This window comes from Homo sapiens, chromosome 22 (assembly GCF_000001405.40).
Source record: "Homo sapiens chromosome 22, GRCh38.p14 Primary Assembly".
Classification (NCBI taxonomy): Eukaryota; Metazoa; Chordata; class Mammalia; order Primates; family Hominidae; genus Homo; species Homo sapiens.
Genome location: NC_000022.11, coordinates 49,034,527 through 49,053,659, shown reverse-complemented (window position 1 = coordinate 49,053,659; position 19,133 = coordinate 49,034,527). Strand labels below are relative to the sequence as shown.

At 53.2% G+C, this 19,133-nt stretch overlaps 1 long non-coding RNA gene across 10 annotated transcripts, besides 3 other annotated features; it reads left to right on the top strand.

Annotated features, from left to right (window-relative positions):
- Positions 1,229-1,308: an enhancer, noted in NCBI's record as "active region_19277". NCBI's record gives its function as "activates an Ori minimal core promoter by ATAC-STARR-seq in GM12878 lymphoblastoid cells {active_cell/tissue: GM12878}" and the evidence as "EXISTENCE:reporter gene assay evidence [ECO:0000049][PMID:35858748]".
- Positions 1,275-9,741, top strand: NHIP (neuronal hypoxia inducible, placenta associated). Of its 10 annotated transcripts, NR_183582.1 has the most exons (5): positions 1,275-3,304; positions 3,457-3,904; positions 4,197-4,265; positions 4,711-5,072; positions 8,066-9,741. It is a non-coding gene; the product is annotated as a neuronal hypoxia inducible, placenta associated (long non-coding RNA). The 10 variants fall into 10 exon arrangements; NR_183583.1 differs by lacking the exon at positions 3,457-3,904; NR_183584.1 differs by lacking the exon at positions 4,711-5,072.
- Positions 4,897-5,053: a silencer, noted in NCBI's record as "fragment chr22:49444419-49444575 (GRCh37/hg19 assembly coordinates)". NCBI's record gives its function as "represses an EF-1alpha promoter that drives an FKBP-Casp9 reporter gene in an ReSE screen in phorbol 12-myristate 13-acetate-treated (for megakaryocytic differentiation) K562 erythroleukemia cells {active_cell/tissue: K562(+PMA)}" and the evidence as "EXISTENCE:reporter gene assay evidence [ECO:0000049][PMID:32094911]".
- Positions 18,210-19,133: an enhancer, noted in NCBI's record as "NANOG-H3K4me1 hESC enhancer chr22:49430339-49431262 (GRCh37/hg19 assembly coordinates)". NCBI's record gives its function as "activates a minimal SCP1, AML or CMV promoter by ChIP-STARR-seq in primed H9 embryonic stem cells {active_cell/tissue: H9 hESC(primed)}" and the evidence as "EXISTENCE:reporter gene assay evidence [ECO:0000049][PMID:30033119]".

Genomic DNA, 19,133 nt, shown 5'->3' with positions numbered 1-19,133 from the left:
GAGAATAACAGAATAAACCTAAAGAAGCTAATGAATAGAAAATCTATAATTATGTCCTTAAATTCATAAAAACAGACACCAAGAAATAACAGAGAGGACCACTGTCTTATTCTGTTTTCTGCTGCTGTAATGAAATGCCACCGGCTGGGTAATTTATAAAGAAATGAGATTTATTTCATTCGCAGTTCTGGAGACTACAAAGTCCAGGACAATGGTGCTGGCATCTGGCAAAGGTCATCCCATGGGAGAAGGATGGAGGGCAGGAGCCAGGGCCTGAGTCCGAGCAGGAGAGGCCAGGCTCACTTTAGAAACCCCACTCTTGAGGTAACAAACCCACTCTCTCGATAATGACATTAATCTGTTTATGAGGGTGGAAGCCTGATATGGTTTGGCCGTGTCCTCACCCAAATCTCATCTTGAATTGTAGCTCCCATAATCCCCATGTGTCATGGGAGGGAGCCAGTGGGAGGTAACTAAATCATGGGGGTGGTTTTCCCCCAGGCTATTCTGACAGTACTTTCTCACGAGATCTGATGGTGGTTTTTTTTTTTTTTTTTTTTTTTTTGAGATGGAGTCTCGCTCTGTTGCCCAGGCTGGAGTGCAGTGGCACGATCTCGGCTCACTGCAACCTCTGCCTTCTGGGTTCAAGCGATTCTTCTGCCTCAGCCTCCTGCCTGGACTGGTATAGACACAAATGTGCTAACACTGAGTCTGAAAACACTTCCTTGGATCTTGGATCTAAACTCTCACTGCTTCTCTTCTGATTATAAACCATTTCACAGCCCCCGGCAGTTCAGAAGGCCCTGAGCCCAGGCGGGAACTCAGACTGAATTGCGATGTCATTCAGGCATTAAAAGCACGCATGGGCTCAGAGTGCTGCTTGCTTGACGTTTCCCGTCTGTGAAGCAATTTTATTTAAATTCTACGCAAAATAGAACCCTTTGCTCTTCTTCCCAGAGTCCTGCCCGGTGGGAAGTTCGCTGGAGGCGCAGCAGGGAGCAGCCTGGCTTTTCCTACGGGGTCATTAGAAGCCTCGCTGGGAGAATTTCCCAAATATTTTGCTGTTTGCTCAAACACACTTTTATATTTTGAATCCAGGCATTTGAGAGAGAAATCTGTAGCGTCTGAAGCATGGGTCTGTGGTTCTCAGCGGAACACACGGTCCCAAAAGGCCCTTCCCAAGATGGCCGGGGCTTCCGCCTGCCGCCCTCCCTCCCGTGGTGCTGAGCGCAGGCTGGGCGCGGCCACATCACCCTAAGGGCGTGGGTGTCGGAGTCTTGCAGGCTGGGGTCCCAGGTGAGAGATGCCAGCAGGGAGCTCTAGATGGGGAACTGGGTGAGCCTGGCTCGGTAAGGGCGTGCTCAGAACACCCCATCCCCGAACACGGTCTTGTGTGATAAAATGTCACGCAAGAAGAATCTGAAACCGCGAGAAGAGGAGGACACGGCCAGACTGCACCGAACCCCGGCACCTCTGTGGGGAAAAGCAGGTCAGGCTGAGCGGGGCCGGCGGGGACACGCGCTCCTGGGCTTCTCCAGAGTCTGCCGGGGCCGGGCCCGGGACCGAGGCTGGGACGCGCTGTGCAGTCCCACCCCTCACACCCCTCGCACGCCTGGAAACACCCTCGGGGTAACACAAGCCGGGGTTGAGTTTCTTGAAGAGAAGCTGGCTGCATCCTGGAGCCAGGGAAAGAGGAGCACAGGGGCCAAGCGGTCCAGGGCCACGGAGGAGCAGGACCCCTGGGGAAAGGCCCGGGTCTAGGCCGGGGCCAGGGGACCGTGGTGGAGACCTCAAAAATGGCAGAACACGGAAGCAGGGCGAGAAAAGTAAACGTAGTCCTTGCGGCAGTTTGAAATACACGCGGGTAAACGCTGGGTGACTCCGCCCGGATGCAGAGTGGGGGTCTGTGTCTCTCCCCACAGGCTGCAGGGACCGGGCTCTGGGTAACCAGCAGAAGGTAACAGAACGAGGCTGCTTTTCCTCCAGGCTGTTCTGGTGTCCGCGCGTGGCTTGTGCGCTGACTCCTGACTTGGAGCGCCGCGTGGCCAGAGAAATCTGGGTGCCTCCAGGCCACCATGGTGAGAGGAGAGGCCACCGCACGAACGGAAGAAGCGATGGAGACGGTCTTTACGACCTAAGAACAGAAAGAGTTTCTTATACACAATCCGAAAAGTAAAAATTGATTGATTGATTGATTGAGATGGAATCCCACTCTGTCGTCCAGGTTAGAGTGCAATGGCTTGATCTCGGCTCATTGCAACCTCCGCCTCCCGGGTTCAAGCGATTCTCCTGCCTCAGTCTCCCGAGTAGCTGGGATTATAGGCGCCCGCCACCACGACTGGCTAATTTTTATATTTTTAGTAGAGACGCAGTTTCACCGTGTTGACCAGGCTGGTCTTGAACCCCTGACCTCAGGTGATCCGCCTGCCTCGGTCTCCCAAAGTGCTGGGATTACAGGCGTGAGCCACCGTGCTGGGCCAAAAATCAATTTTAAAACGACCACATGAAAAATAAATCTCCTGTATCACAGAGCATGTTCTGAGGAAAATGAAAGCCACAGATCCAGAAGATATTTGTGACACATATGAAAAACAAAAACTCATATTCAAAACATACACAGCATTGCTATGAATCATTAAGAAAAATGATTTCGTCTCCTCTACAGGAGCCTGAGTGAAGGACAAGGACAGATCATTATAAACCAGGGAGCTTGAAGAGCTAGTTAACAAGCACAGAAAATATGTTCCCCCACACTGTTAATCAAGAAAATTAAAACTGTAATGAGATGCCGCATTGTATCCATGGGATTTCTAAAAGTACAAAGTTCCACAATACCCGTTGTTGACGGAGCAGGGAAACCGCAGGAGCCTGCAGGAGATGAGATTGTAAATGTGCAAGGACATTTTGGAGAAGAGTTGACAACATCTCACTCACGTGTATCAAGCCAAGTGCCGAAAGAAGAATTGGTTGTCATAAAGAAAACAGAAACCCAGAATGGATGTAGCTTATCCCTCCGATGGAAAGTTACAAAGAAGTTAAAATGAATGGGCTGCATCTCTGTGTAACAATTTGGATCAATATCAAAGACACATTTGTTAAAGCAAGGTGTACAATGAAACCTGCAACATGATTTGTCTGTTTAGTAAAACACAGAAAATCTAACTCCGCCTGGCTTACGAACACACACATGTGTTAGAATTTGGGAAAAGGAAAGGGAGGGAGGCCGGCTACACGTGAACTTTTGGAAAATCTCAGAGGGTCTGGGGCACCAGGTGGAGACCATGGCAGCCTTCAGGGATATGAGGTGAGTCCTTCAACTACATTTGCAAGGTTTTATTTCTTAGGAAAATATTTAAAGCAAATATTTCAAAAATGACTAAATCTGAGTGGTAGGGAGTCACTGTTTTATAGATTATTCACTTTTCCCTGGGCTTGGAATGTTTCGTTTTTTCAAAGGTCAAATGAGATGCTGCCTTTCCACCAGATAAAGATTTACCTGGTGCCTCTGTTACTGCCCAGCAGCGCCTGAGGACGTGGGGGCTGCTGCCCAACACGGAGGCTGGGCTGGCCTGGTCCGTGGGCTCAGGTTCTCATCCTCTGCACGTGCATCTGCCTCCTGTGCGTCTCTGTGCACACGCTTGTATCTGGATGCAGAGTCCTGTGCCCAGTGTACATGCACAGATGTGCGCATCTGGGTAGATGTGCTGGTTCGCTGTGTGAGCATGCACAGACCCTTGTTCACCGTGTGTGCGCATCCGTGCAGTGTGGACATCTGGACAGGACCCCGTGCTCCCTGTCTCTGCCGCTGAGATGTTTCCTAGCTGTGCACAGAATTCACTCTCCTACTGGAGGGCTCTGACTGAAAGCTCTGATGCGGCAGGCCTTCTCTTGACACTTGGTTAAGGTATGCCTCTCACATCTGTATGCCCACATCTGCTCTCCTCCCTCCCTCCTTCTCAGCACTTAGCCCTCTGATATGGTTTGCTGGCGTCCCCACCCAAATCTCATCTTGAATTGTAGTTCCCATAAATCCCCACGTATTGTTCGAGGTACCCCGTGGGAGATAATTGAATCATGGGGGTGGTTACCCAGATGCTGCGGTTCTCGTGTTAGTGAGTTCTCGTGAGATCTGATGGTTTTATAAGGGGCTTTTCCCCCTTTTTCTCGGCACTTCTCCTCGCTGCCGCCACATGAAGAAGGATGTGTTTGCTTCCCCTTCTGCCATGATTGGAAGTTTCCTGAGACCCCTCCAGCCATGCTGAACTGTGAGTCAATCAAACGTCTTTCCTCCATAAATTACCCAGTCTCGGGTATGTCTTTATTAGCAGTGTGAGAATGGACTCACACATTCTCCTAATGTAGTATACATGTGTTTGCTCATTTGTCACCATCTCTCCATCTCTAGTCTCTAGAATATGAGATCTGTAAGAACAGGGACACCTAGAATACGAGATCTGTAAGAATAGGGACATTGTCTGTATCAGGTGTTCATGGCTCAATCCCAGCACCTGGAACAGCATGAGGCACCTGGCAGGTGCCTGACAAACATTTGCAGGGAATATGTGTGCATGAACCTGCATGGGCAGGAACAGGTGCATAGGAACATGGATTGTGGACGTGCATGTATGTGCGTGCATATGTATACCACTATGTATACGTAGCTTATTGTGTCTTTGCAGTGAGGTTTTCAAACCTCTGTCTTGTTTCCAGGATTTCCTGAAGACACCATCCCAGTCAAGTGGTCTGCCTCATACTGAGCCACCAGACCACCCAGCATGTCCTCACCCGCGTGGACAGATGACAGGGGGCTCTGAGCATGCCCCAGTGCACCTTACGCACCTGTGAAGGTTGGGAGCCTGAGTGCAGCTCCTGTGGCACTGCCCGTGGCCAGGGAGATGCCTCCTCAGTGCTCCTGACCCTCGGTGGAGGACCGGCCAGCGTGTGTGCCGACAGTGTGTCCACACAGGTGTGCTGCGCCCAATGGGCAAGTCGGAAACAAAGGAAAATGCTCTCTGAAGGAAAAGGCAAAGCAATTTGGATTTCTGCGAGAAAATGAGACTGCATGTGGCACTGTAAATACCCTTGCTGCTGAACTTCTCGCTCCCCCCAGATACACCCTTCATATTGACATGTCTAGAACCTTAAACTGAACCAAGTTGAAAAGTGAGATTAATTAGGGCTGAGTTAACAGTTAACACATACAATGAAATATTGAATAAGGCTTACTGAGCAAACAAGAATATACAGAAGTGGAGGAGACAAAGAGGATATTAAAAATGCAGACAGTGATGAGGCAGATAGCTGGGACAAATAATGAAAAATAGTAAAGGAGATAAGGCAGATATTGGAGGAGCAAAGAGTCTCTGAAATAGATATCGGTATTGAAAGATGCTAAACACGCTTCTAAAGAGACTTTCTAGCCGACACAGGGAGCTCACTGATGGATGAAGTAGAAACATTTTTAAATGGAATCAAACAGGGCAAAGCGGGAGAAGAAAAAGAAGTAGGTAAACCAGTAAATTAACTTTTCTCGTGTGTGCTGTGTACTATTTGTGAGTGAGCAATGAACGCTGTGGCTCCCTGGAGGGGCTGTGGTGGGAAGTTTCACTGCGATCAAGTAGAGGTGGTGCCTTTGGACCTCTTCTCCTGAACCTGCAGGGAGAGGCGCAGAATATTCACAAGGTGAAGATGCAACAATTCAAATGAGTGTCCAGGTTTTCAGGGTGGTTGCTAAACCCCAAAAGACCGATAGCTTCGGGCAAAAGACTGCAGAAAGAACAGCTTTACATTTTTACGGAAGCAATGGGAAATATACCCTGTAAGCCTTGAAAAATTCCCGAAGGGATTCCTGTTCATTCCTGTGGATCCTAATGGGCCAGCATAGACCTGTTAGTCAAAAGAGGATTTATCTACATTGCACACTCATTCAGGCAGGCAGGGAAGTCAACGCCACTTTCAGATGTTTGTAGAGCATGAACTCTGTCCGTTCCCACGCCCTCCAAAGGCTGTTACACAGGGATGCCCGCTTCTGGACAGAAGTGATTCATGCAGGATGAGAACCATGACCACAGAAGATTTTGTGCATGTGGTTATTTCAATATTTAATTTAAGTGTATGCATGAGTGTTCAGGATAAAAATGCTTGGAGTGTACTTTAATTCCATTAAAAATGTATACATTATTCATGTCCTATGGACTGTCCACTGTGTGACTCAGAGAGCTGAGGGGGTAGAAATATATTCATTCATTCACTGTCTCCTTAAATATTTACTGAGCACTTGTTGCCCGTTGAATAAGTTGTTGTTTTAGGTTCCTCATGGTAGCTGTGCAGGAAGGGTGCAGAGTGGCCTGAGGGGCTATTGGGAAAGTCCACCTTGGGTTGAGGGATCTGGGAGGGCTCCCTGGAGGAGGTGGTGTTGGACTACAGCGATGGGAACATAAAGGAGCTGGAGAGAGATTTGGGTGCCAGTCAGCACAAGAAAGGCCCACACAGAGAAAGTCAGGCTGGGGCGAGAGTGAGCCCCCCAAGCTGAGAGCTCAGCCTGAGAGCATGGGAAGCCATCCAGGAGCTGAGAAGCCAGGCTGGGTCTGACCCCACTGATTCAGATCCCTCTGTGGCCTTGGGAAAGGCCAGAGACAGGGCCGCAGGTGGGGGCTTTGGTGAAGGGAGCGAGAGTGTGAGCCAGTGCCACGTAGAGAGGACAGACGCAGGGATGCCAGCCAGGGTGCCGTCGGCCAAGAAAGGAAGGTCCAGCAGGCACAGTGTCAGAGGAGGGTCCCAGAGGAAGGCACTGGGAACAGTCCTGGCTTCTTACCTCGGCCACTAGGCAGATGGTGATGCTCTGAGGGTGCTGAGGCCACAGGGTGGGAGGGAGGAGGAGGAGCCTCCCTCTGCAAGCTCTGTTACAGGGGGTATGCATCAGTGGCTCCCCACCGCCCTCTGGAGGAAGCCCGGAGCACAGAGCACTTGAGGCTCCTGGGTGTCCCTGGTCCGTGCTCCACTAAGTAGCTCCCCTGTTCCCCACCTAATCTCCATGGCTGGGCGTTCTGAATCCACGCTTCCAGCTCCCAGACGGTTCACAGGCTCCCGGCCCAGGCCATGTGTGCGTGCTGTCTCCCTGTGGGAGCAGGCTCCTGTCCTAGCCCCACACACCTGCTCATAGCTCTGCCCTCAGGTCAAAGGCCCCTTCCAGGGTCAGGGTCCCAACGGGGAACCCCAATTCTGGGCTCTGCAAATGCCTCCCAGCGTTACCCCTCAAAATGTCACTGTCTGAGGGTCTTGACCTCTGGCTTGTGAGCTCACAGAGGGCAGCGCCCTTGCACTCACCTTCCTGTTGACCTGCAGGGCCAAGCATTGTGCCGGACATAGGGGTGAACAGGCACATGCTTCCCACCTGTCAGGGAGATTCTTGCTCTCCTGGCTCTGCCCCACCCCTGGGGGCTCTGCCAGCTCCTCGGAACCCTGAGTCCAGGGCAGGGCACGGTCTCAGGTCTTAGCCTGATGACGTAGTACAGGCTCTAGGCCCCAGGAGGGACATGGCACTTCCTGCATCGACTCTGTCACTGGTCTCCCCAGGGCTTCCCTCCCCAAGCCTCAGGGGCTGTGGGGTACCCCATCCTCTCCACAGAACACGTGCACAGGCCTCCAGGAGATGGTTAATAGAACGGAGAGGTTTTAGGGAAGTTTATTTCTATAGCTCTTACATTTATTTATATTTGTCAAATATGTTCCCATCACTAAAATCTCTTTGGAGCATTTTCAAAAATTAAAGAATTGCGTCTAAAAATACTGACCTTGATGTTCAGTGTGCATGGGTAACTCTCCAGGCCCAGCAACATCAAGAGGCAGATGTGACAGCAGCCGTGGCTGCTCAGGGGGCCGGGAATGCGGGAAAGGGGTGGCTGTCAAACAGTCTTGACAAGCGGCTGAATGTGACTGTGTCGGATTTGGAAAGTGCAGCCTGAGAATTTGAAATCCATTCACTCCCCACCCCCAAGCGTTTTTTCATGTATTCGTTCATTCAGCACACCTTGAATGAACACTCTTTTATTTGCTACCTATTCAGGGACACTACACAGGCCCGTGACCATCACACGCCCAGCCTGGCCCCGTGCTGTGCCTGAGCAGAGGACTGTTGGCAGATGGTTCACTTCCACCCTCCATGATAAATGCTGAGAAAAGAAAGATCAAGGGCTTCAGAGCCCACTGGAGGGAATTCATACAGCCGGGGGCCCAGGAAGCTGCTAAGGAAACTGCCTGGACGGCAGGGTGGCCGTGACCACGGGGACGGGGAGAAGGACCCAGAGGAGCTGAGGAATCCTTGCTGTGGAAGGCACCATATGAGCTGCGTGAAGTCAGAGTCAAAAGCAAACCCGTCTCTTCTTGACAGTGGGACCCAGGAGGCAGGACAACCTGCCAGAGAGGCTGAAGGAGGTTCCCTCAGGCTGGATCCTCGACAAGAAAAAGGAAGAGGGTCTGCCTGATTCCCTCGCCAACAACAGCTGGTCTTCCAGAAGTCAGCAATCTCTTGTCCCTTGTCTTCAAAAGCCCATGGAGCTGGAGGCAGGCAGCTGAGGTCAGGAAGAGAAGGTGCGACCCAGTCCAGGAAGGCTGAGTCCTCGTGAACCCTCAGGGCTGGGGTGAGGGGCCAGTGCCCGGCCCAGACACCAGCACAGCCCTGCAGTGGGAGTTGATCTCAGCAGATGGACGGGCACCGCCCAGAGGATGGACTGGTCAGCACCGCCCGGAGGATGGACCGCTCAGCACCGCAGTGGCCGCTTGGCCTAATTTGCCACCTGAAGAGCCGCCAGGTCTCCAGTGACTCTAGCACCATGGACAGGAGAGGAGCAGGGTGACCTGAGGGTACAGAGAAGGTTCTGCTGTAATCAAGTTCCCCTGCCTGGTCAGAGGGCTCAGAGGTTTGAGAGGGGAGGGATTTCCTTTTAAAGCTGCAGGATCCCTGTGGGTCCAGAAAGAAACACAGCCATGGCGGGCATCCCATGGAGGGTAGTGACCAGGAGCAGGACAAAGGTGGAAGGTGGGTGGAGCCCCCACATGGGCCTCAGGTCACATTGGACATTTCCTCAGCAAGTGTCACCTGGGTGGTGACGAATGGGGGAGGAGAACAGATGGAATGCGGAGAGTAGCAGTGTGAAGCTGCACCGCCTGGTCACCACTCGAGATACACAGGGTTTGCTCTGCCTGAGGAGCACACGCTGGCTGCAGACACGGGGCAACCACGTGAGAAAGGTCAGACCCAGGCCCACTCGCCTTCCATATGCATCTTAGGGACGGGGATGCCTGCGCCAGCAGCAGCCTTGCTGCCCCTGCGTCCCCCAGTGCACCTGCCAGGGCAAAGCCAACAGGCAGTGCCAAGGACCTGAGGGAGGAGGTGGGCTTGACTTCGAGGCAGGGCACAGACACCAGACCACGTGGAGGAGCAGCTGAAACAGGGCCGGTGGCAGCAGCCGCCTGTGAGACGTGCCAGCCGGTGAGCCTTGTTAGTTTACCATTGCCACGGCAAGACCCAGAAGTTACTGCCACTTCCCACGGTAAAATCCCAATGACCCTGAGGTTTCTGCTCCTTTTCTAGAAATTTCTGCATAAACCAACCCCTAATTAGCATGTAGTTAAAAGTGGGTGTAATTATGATGCGGAGCTGCCTCTGAGCTGCTCTTCTGTGCACTCTGCTGTCCTGGGGCAGCCCCTCTGCTGCCGCTGCAATAAAAGCTGCTAACAGCACCTGCTCACCTTTGAATTCTTTCCTGGGCAAAACCAGTAACAGACCTGGGCTAAGCCCCCGTTTTCGGGTCTGCCTGCCCCACATCAGACCTGCCCAGGGTTGCCCCACCACTCCTAAAGGAAGACAGGAAGGGGAGGGGGCAGCCGCCCAGCCGACCCTTCAGATTGCCCAGCCCCAGCTCCTCTGCATCCTGGAACCCTTGTTCACACGGAGGGGCAGGGCAAGCCCCAGCGCCTGGGTGCCCACAGGAACCTGGGGGAGGGCTCCTGAGAGGTGGCCGGGCAGATCTGGTGGCCGCCGGCAGATGCTTGGGTTTGGGCCCCTCACCCCACTGCCTGGTCAGGCCCCTGCTCACCTGAAAGCACAGGAACGGACGTCAGGCTTTGAGTGTGGAAGCCACGTGTGCGGGGACCTGGAGTGGGAAGCAGCTCCCAGGCCTGGCGTGAGGCCCCTGGCATCTCCCACAGAGGGGAGCAGAGGGAGCCTCTTCTGGGATGCCACTAGCTTTGCTTCTGGGCCCTGTGCTCTTGTGTGAGTCTGTGTGATTCTGCCAGATTCCGCCTTGCTCTGCTTTGGTCTCCCTGTTGCCTCAGCCACGCTGGCCTCTGGAATCCAGCCCTCCGGCAGCCGCCCTTCCGCCTGACATCTTTCTTACCCTCGCTTTTATCTCCACCCAATGACTGTTCTTTCCCTCCTGGAAGTTACCACCAGGACACCTCCAAGCCCAGCCCCTCTCTGGACATCATTCCGCTTTCCATCATTCCTGCTGTGGTCTGAAGGTTTCTGTCCCCTCAAAACGTGTCTGTCGAATCCTCGCCCCCAAGGTGATGGTATTAGGAGGTGGGGCCTCTGGGGGGTGATGAGGCCAGGGGACAGAGCCCTCATGAAAAGGATTAGTGCCCTTAAGGAAGAGGCCCAGAGAGCTCCCTTGCCCCTTTCTCTGCAGGAGGACACGCACAGCACCCGCTTCTATGGGGCACTGGCCTCAGCCAACGCTGACTTTGCTGGCACCTTGACTTCCTGGCCTCCAGGACCGTGAGAAATGAATTTCCATGGTTTATGTGATATGAATTTCCAGGGTATTTTGTTACAGCAGCCCAGGCAGACTGAAACCATTCCCATGCTAGCTGGAGAATCAGAAGGTGCGTTTGCTCCTTAAAAGCACCCTCAGTGGCACCAACTTCACACCCATGGCACCGGTTCTCATCACTCTCTCAGAGGCCACCCTCACCTCTGCAGGCCTTGAATCGTTAAGAGAATTTAGCCACAAACCAGGCAAGAATCTTTCCTACTTTTCAGCAGCCAGAAGGCTTTGTAGTTAATATTCTTCTTTAAAATTCAGTAATTATGTATCTAGTTGCTACCAACCACAGAGAAAAATATGCATATTAAAAAGTCCATAATTACATAATAAGCACTTCCTGTCAATGGCGTTCTGCTGCCATGCACTCTCTGCCCCCTTTATCTTAAAAAAAATTCAAAAACAATTACCACAAACACTAACATAATCAAGCACCACGTGTCAGGTTAATGCAAAATTACGCGTTTGCTTTGAGCACATAGATAAGTTCTAATTCAGACACCATCAGTCCTAACCACAACCACATGGGATCTGTGGCCCTGCCGGGATGGCTGGGGAGCTGGAAGCACCTCGGAAAGGCTGAATGGCAAAGGACTCAGGAGGACACCTGAGGAATCACCTGCTTGGATTCGAAGCTGCCAGAGTGTCAGGTAATTTGGGGAAGGTCTGTAGCCTCCCTGAGCCTCAGTGTCTTCACAGGGAAGATACAGTATTTACTTCATAGAGGTTGCTGTGGAAACTATATGCCCAGATTTCACCACAAAAACAAGCAAAATAAAAGAAATGGGGTGAAAAACGGTGCCTCGTCCCAGTTCTCTTATCGCTGCGTGGTCACATGACCCAGTCCTTGCCAGGGGGTGCCAATGAAAGTGCCTCTGTGAACCCTGAGAAAGGCCCTTTCGTGGGAACACGTTTGGCCAGCCCTTACCTTTGCCCTTTTCTGTCCTCTGTGGAGAATGCAGATGCAATGCTGGAGGTGCAGCTGTTGTCTTGTGTCTTTGAGGCAGCCTAGGAATGACTGAGCAGAAAGATTTGAGGAGGCCATGTCCCTGATGGCACCCTAGAGCCAATGGGCCACCCTGGACTGCTTCGCCCTTGACCATCTTAGTAGGTGAGAAAAACAACCTGACGCTGTGCTTCTCTCTCGGGAATTGCTCTTACTTGCATGTTAATGGAAGGTTGGTAGCCAGTGGGTGTGCAAGGTAGAAGCTGTTGTTATTTTGAGGTAGGAATAATGTCATCTTGAGTCTTTAACATCCTAAGCCTGTGACCTAGGCATGGGGAGAAAATCAAGTCAGGCTGGGCGTTCTGGGCTTCTCTCTGCTGAAAAGCCCTAGGGAGTCGCCCTGCTTCCACTGACTGTGGACAGAAACCCCACTGCTGGCTCCAGAGATGTCTCCTGATTCCTAGCTCAGAGCGTATTCCTTCTCCCTGACCAAAACTTCCGAGGAGCCCACTGGCTCTGGGGTGAGATTTGCGTCTGGTTTTGAAGACGCTGAGCATCAGCTCCTTTCCACGCCTTGCCTGCGTGTTTCCCTGCACAGGTGGGCTGGCCGCTCCTCCCGCCCATCCTCGCCAGGGCTGATCTGCCTGGAGTCGGGGGCAGTGCTCAGATGGCGGCTCTTTCTGTCTTCTGCGTGTGTCCTCCCCTGAGTGTTCCTCCAGTGTCATGTTGTCTCTCAGAGTCCTGCTCAGGACACCAAGTGCCTCCTTGCAGCCCTCTGGGCAGCAGAACTGGGCCAGGGCTCGGCTCTGGGTACTGGAAGTTTCCACCTGTCCACCATTCCTCCCAGCATGCAACACAAGCATGACCGTGTTTCACGTCTGCCATGGCATAGGAATGGTGGAGGATCTCCTAGTCGGACTTGATCCAGGGAGCACCCTGGGGAAGGGACCTAGGAGCACAGAGGGCAGGACGACTTCCACCGGCCTTCAGCCTCCGCTCCTTCAGGTGCCCAGTGAGCAGCCTTAGGCAGCAGAGCACCTGCGAGGGCTTCTCCATCTGCCCCCAGCCCTCCCCTGACACCCACAACTTTCACTGTTGATTGGACCTCAATCCAATGCCCCACTCAAAGGACCTCCCCCAGGACCCTTTCTCCCACAGCACCTCATGCATCCTCTTTCTGGACTTGGCTCTATTTTTTTAATGACCATCGGTCACCCCGACTTGCGTTTATTGGCTCCATTTGTTCAATACCTCAGTCCACTACCAGAACAGGAGCCACTCAGGCAGGCATTTGGTCTGTCCCTGAGCTTGGAAGGTCACATGGCTCTCAGTTGTTTCCCAAAGAATATTTGTGAATAAGTGGAGAAATGAATGAACGTGTGAACAAATGAATGAATGTATAAAAAGTACTTCCTCCAACTTGCTGGTCTATCTCTACTGTCTTTCCCTGGGCCTTGCTCCCCAGCTCTCCTGGGTCCACAGCTCCCCTTCAGCTCCCCGTGCCTCTGTAGAATATTCCACTGCCCAGGGCTCCGCTGTCTCCACCTGCCAAGGCGTGTGTGAGGCTTTCCGGTGGCGCTGGGGATGCTGGCTCTGTACCCACTCCCAGCACACTGTCTCTCTCTCCCTCTGCACCGGGTGACTTTAAACTCCAAGTCCCTCACCGTGACCAGCACTTGGCCAGGATTCCTGTTGAACGGATTGATGAGTCAATGATAAACAGATGAAAAAAATTACAATAGAATTTCAATAATGGCTTAAAATCCAAGAATAGAATGATTTTGTAAAGAATCCCACAGCCAAGTTCTGTGTATGGGAATTGAAGCCAGGGCCAGAAAAGTAATAAATAAACAAACAAATCTGTCTTTTGATTCCTCTGCCCTGGAGGCAGCTTGCTAAGTCCCTGGACCCTGCAGTCTTCTGCTAATTTGCTTCCCTAAAGCTGCCAAGCATGGCCTGGCTGCAGCGACATGGCCGGGTCTGCTGTCACCTGGGTACCAGAGACGCAGGCTCCAGAAGCTGTTTCCCTCCCCAAAGCAAATGTGGCCCACGCCACTCTAACTGTGCCAGCACCAGGAGCAGAGGTTGCTTCCAGCTATGGACTTCGGCCTCTCACTAAGGGGAAGACTGGCTCCTGGAATGCAGTGCCTGCCGGAATAGTCTACATGGTTTTGCACTGGAGTGGCTGTGACAATGGTGGGTTTGGGAGAGAAACCTTGTACCGCCCTGTACAGCTCTTGCCCTCAACACACCAAGAGCAGCTATCTTCTAGCCTGGAGACTTTTCAAAGATTCATTGTGTGTGTGCGTGTGTGTGTGTGTGCACATGCACCACTGAATAAAAATGAATCTTTATGGAATTCAGATTAAGAAGCTCTCCTAGGCCACAACTGCCCTTTTGTCTGGTCTGTAGAGCTGAGGGTTGGTATCCTGAGGATGCCAGGACCGCAAGTGAAGATGATAAAGGAAGCAGGAGAGGAGGAGGAGCTGGGTGTGAGAAAGTGGAGACCCGTGGGAGGGACAATGGAGAGTCCCAAATGGGACCAGGGTCTGGAGAGCAGCGGGGAGCCCCCATGGCCACCATCAGTAGAGAAATACAGAGAGCAACCAGCACCTCTGTAGGTGGGATGAATAGGTCTTAAATTCCACAGGGGCCTCCAATCAAAGCCCCAGGTCTGCTGGCTGGATCAGCGAGATCACAGAGTGAGGCTGAGCTCCCCCAGGGGCAAAGCGTGCAGGTGACACCTCCATTGCTGGCCTGATGACTACAGAGGGGCCTCTGCGACATGGCGCTGGGCTGAGGAGTCCAGGTGGCTGCAGGGCTCAGGGGTGGGACCACACACCTCAGCTCTCTCATCTCCTTCCAAACAGTCTCAGGTTTGGGGTCCTCCACATCCTCACCAGGTGTCAAATTCTTGTTAACATCGCAGCCACCATGCGGCGATCACGGCGCGTTTTCATCCTGCCGATCGCCTGTGAGTCCAGCAACGGCCCATTTTATTTTTCAGTCAGAAACCTGAGAGGCGAGCGCTGAGTCACTTTTCCAAAGTCATCGAGTGGCTCAGGTGCGGGGCCAGAACTAAAACCAGGGCTCTAGCCAGTCCCTCCGGCTCCGCCTTCCAGCCAGTGTCCAGGGAAAGCAAGAGCAACATGTGGAGAAATTGCAGTGACACACACGTAAAGCAAAACATGATCAGATTAAAGAAATGCAATTCCCAAATAAAGATTCTCCGCAAAGTGACGCAAGGAGAGAAAACCAAACGGCATGGTCTCACTCCTAAGTGGGAGTGGAGCAATGAGAACACATGGACACAGGGAGCGGAACGTCACACACCGGGGCCTGTCCGGAGGCGGGGGGCTGGGGGAGAGCATTAGGACAAATATCTAATGTAAATGACGGGTTGATGGGTGCAGCAAACCAACGTGGCACATGTATACCTATGTAACAAACCTGCACGTTCTGCACGTGTACCTCAGAACTTAAAGTATAATAATAAAAAATAAAAAGAAGAAAGAAAGGGAAATTAAATAAGAAAAAAAAAAGCAACTCCGGTACATTATAAGAAAACACCTTAAAACATCCTCCAGACAGTCCAGTGCCCTTGCTTTCTCTCGTGTCCGACCTCACATGCTAATTTTGGTGCCTTACATGTCACAGAAGCGGTCATAATCAGCCTCATCACTGTGGGGCCTGGTGGGGCAGAGACAGAGGGCCCTTCTCATCTTTGGGAGATGCTGAAAGGCCAGTGCCCACCGGCCCTAACATTTCATGTCCACCCCCGTTTTCCTGTAGAAAGACAGAGGAAACGGGACAGCGGCCTTCAGGGTCAGCATTTGGGAGCTGCCTGGCGGCAGGCGAGGACCCGAGGCATTAGCGGCATCCTCAGCTCCTGGGCCTGCTGAGCTCTGACCCACCCTTGGGTGGCTCAGAGGTGGCCGGTTCACTTCGAGAAGCCCAGAGAACAGATTCTTCCTGAATGAGTCTCAGAGAACTACCAGCATCCTGGCAGCTTCCCTGCAGCTGGAAGTGGAGGCGGGAGGAGACCTGGGGCCAGGAGTCTCTGCAAAGTGTTTGCCTTCTTCAGTCCTGATAGAGGAAAGTTCAGATGTGATTGTGGTTGGAGGAGGTCCTGTCACACCACACGTGTTGGCTCTGGGCTCTCCTGGCCATTCCGGAGACATCCAGGGTACTTCGGGGCTTGCCCTTTGGCCTTCAGAGAGCTGCCTGGGAAGTGCTCACCTTGCGCACAGCTGCGGCCTCTCCCGCTGCAGGATTCCCCTCCTCCCGCTCCCCAATCCTTCCCACCCAGAACCCCTCTTCTCCCTCTCCCCGCCCCGTCCCACCCCCTGGCCCCTCCCGCTCCCAGCATCCTCTCTCCCACCCTCTGGCCCCTCCCACTCCCAGCATCCTCTCTCCCACCCTCTGACCCCTCCCACTCCCAGCATCCTCACTCCCAGCATCCTCTCTCCCACCCTCTGGCCCCTCCCACTCCCAGCATCCTCTCTCCCACCCTCTGGCCCCTCCCACTCCCAGCATCCTCACTCCCAGCATCCTCTCTCCCACCCTCTGGCCCCTCCCACTCCCAGCATCCTCTCTCCCACCCTCTGGCCCCTCCCACTCCCAGCATCCTCACTCCCAGCATCCTCTCTCCCACCCTCTGGCCCCTCCCACTCCCAGCATCCTCTCTCCCACCCCATCCTTCCTTGCTCCAGTCTTGCAAACCTTTTTTTGCATCATTTCTTTTGTGATGACTCAAGTTTTTGTTGTGTTGATACTTTTTATTTCTTGTCTTTAATATTATTTCTTATTTTCCTGTTACATATTTATTTTTTATACTATTCCAGTTTTCTTTGGGTCTTTTCTTGGTATAACGGTTGTACCTCCCACAGCTGATCTCCTCTGGATACTCACGTTCTGTGTCTATAGCTCATACACACACACACACACACACACACGTATCTGACCTTTATTTTTTGGTATTGATTTCCGTGACGGAACAATGTCTGTGGAGTCCGTGTTGGGTCCGAGGAGAGACGGAGCGTGCCTTTATCTCCCACTTCTGCTTCGCTTCTTGCTTTTGTCAAAATAGCCTGGGATTGTGGAGGCATTGTTTACTTTTCAAAAGGGCCATTCTCTAGACTGTGGAAAATCAGTCCCTTCCAGCCAGGGCCGATAGCTTTATACACAAACAGCTACGCCTCTTGCAAGAACCCGAGGGCATTTATTTAGCTTGATTGCATACAGGTGTCTGGCAGGAGGAAGGTGTATTGAATTTTTAACTGTCAGTTAAAATAGAGAGTATTGAACATTCTATTTTGGTAGCCTTTCTGAGCAAGGTCAATACCATGTTATTTCAGTCTGGAGCTGAAGGTTGGTGACGTCTGTCACCTGTCACCCCCGAACTGATATTCGTAATCCAGGCAATTCTCTGTCTGGCAGGAGAGCACAGGAAACGCGTCCCCTTGGCCTCCCTGATAGTGGGAGCCATAGGAGAGAGGCCCTGGGCGGGCGGGGAAATCAGAGAGACTCCGGACCATATCGATGGGGTCTGTGCCCTGGTCCCGGAGCCTGCCAGACAAAGCTCTCCAACCCTGGGGCCTCGCCGGCAGCAGGCGCCTCCGCCTGGTTACTGTCCAGCAGGGGTACCATGGCCAGCAGGCCTGTGAGGCAGGCAGGACTGCAGGGGAGGGCTGGAATTCAGGCCATCAGGAAACTCCACGGGTCTCAGTTCCCTTGTTTGTGACGTGGCAACCTTGATGGGACACCCCGTACATCAAAGGTCTGGCCTTTGCCACTCAGCCTGCACACGCCGGGCCTGGCTGCAGCTTCAGGAAGGCTTCAAGGAGGAGATGGGTCCGAGCCTGAGCCTGGCCCTGTGTGAGGACTGGGACGGAGCCCCCCAGAGTGCAGAGACCCTTAGCCCAGGAAGGCTGGCGGCCTGAGGGGGCTCCATGCTGGCCCGTGGGGATGCGTGTGAAGGTCACACTTATGTGGGGCAGCCGAGGGGAGGGGACAGAATTTGCATAGACTAAAATCCAGGAAGGACAGGCAGGAATGTCACACACGGAGGTGGCATTTTAGCCTGGAGACAAGGGCTACCCCTAAAGGTCTCTGAGCTGCAGACCGAGCGATGACAGTGGCCCTGTGCCCACAGTGAGACTCTCCCAGGATCCCGCAAGAAAGCGTCCTCTCTGTGAGGTCACTGCCTCCCACCCGTACCCAGGAGCCAGGCCCCCAAGCAGCAGTCCCCAAAGAGTGGCCTCTATGTCACGTTGCTCCCCAGCAAGCCTCACCCAGGAAGCCAGGAGGAGGCCTTCGAGGGAGCTGGGCGGACAGACCGCCAGGACTGTTGGCTCCATCCTCCCTGCAGGCGGCCTTCGCAATATCTGACGTTAGAAGTCACTGTCCAGGTAGAACCACCTAGGAGAGGGCGTGGCATCCACTCAGGAGCAGGGAAAGGCCATGGGGCAGCGGGCTGCTGAGGAGGGCAGGCGTGGGGAGGAGAAGACCCTGATCTGGCCACCCCAGGCCCCCTGTGACTAGGAAGGAGTTGAACTAGGGTCCTGCCTGCTGGGACACAGCCCTTGTGCCCGCCAGAAGGTGAGTCCCATAGCTGGGTCCATACCAGGAGCCTCCCAGGGGCCGGGACTTCTTCTGGAAGATTGGGAGAAGTGAACCTTTTGATTAGTCATGGAGGTGTGGGGGGCCGAGTGGGGTGCTGATCTCGGCACCCCAGCGTCTGTCTGTACCATTTCCATCCAAGTTGCCCGCTGCCTCTAAACCCGACGTCTTCAAGCCTGACTCAGGGCCCTGCCGCCTGCCACCCTAATCCTCCGGGTTCTTCCACGGCAGGTGAACATCACCCACATCCCCCAACCCCGATGTCCGAGTCACAAATCCTGGGACATCGACTCCTCCCCTCCCGAGCTTGCTCTGGATCTGGAGGGGATGGCCCTGAACTGGAGAAGGGCCTGCCATGCTCTCCCCATCCTGTTCCTCTATGCACAGAGTGTTTTCACTCTTCAGGTGCCTTGGCCAAAAGCAAGGCCTATCTCAGGACTGTCCAGCAACCCCTGAGGTCTGCAGGTCCCACACGCCTCTGAGCTGCCAGCGTCTGCCTGGGGCCAGGTCACCATGGCCTGCCTGAGAGGGACCCAGGAGGGAGAGATTGGCCGGGTTCCCTGCTCACCCTGTGGGCCTCAGAAACTCCAGAGCCCCAAGTCAGACAGTCTCCTGGGAGCACGCTGAATTGGGGCTTGTAATTGTTTTTTTTTTTTTTTTTTTTTTTTTTTTTTTTTTTTTTTGAGACTCGCTCTATTGCCCAGGCTGGAGTGCAGTGGCCCAATCTTGGCTCACTACAACCT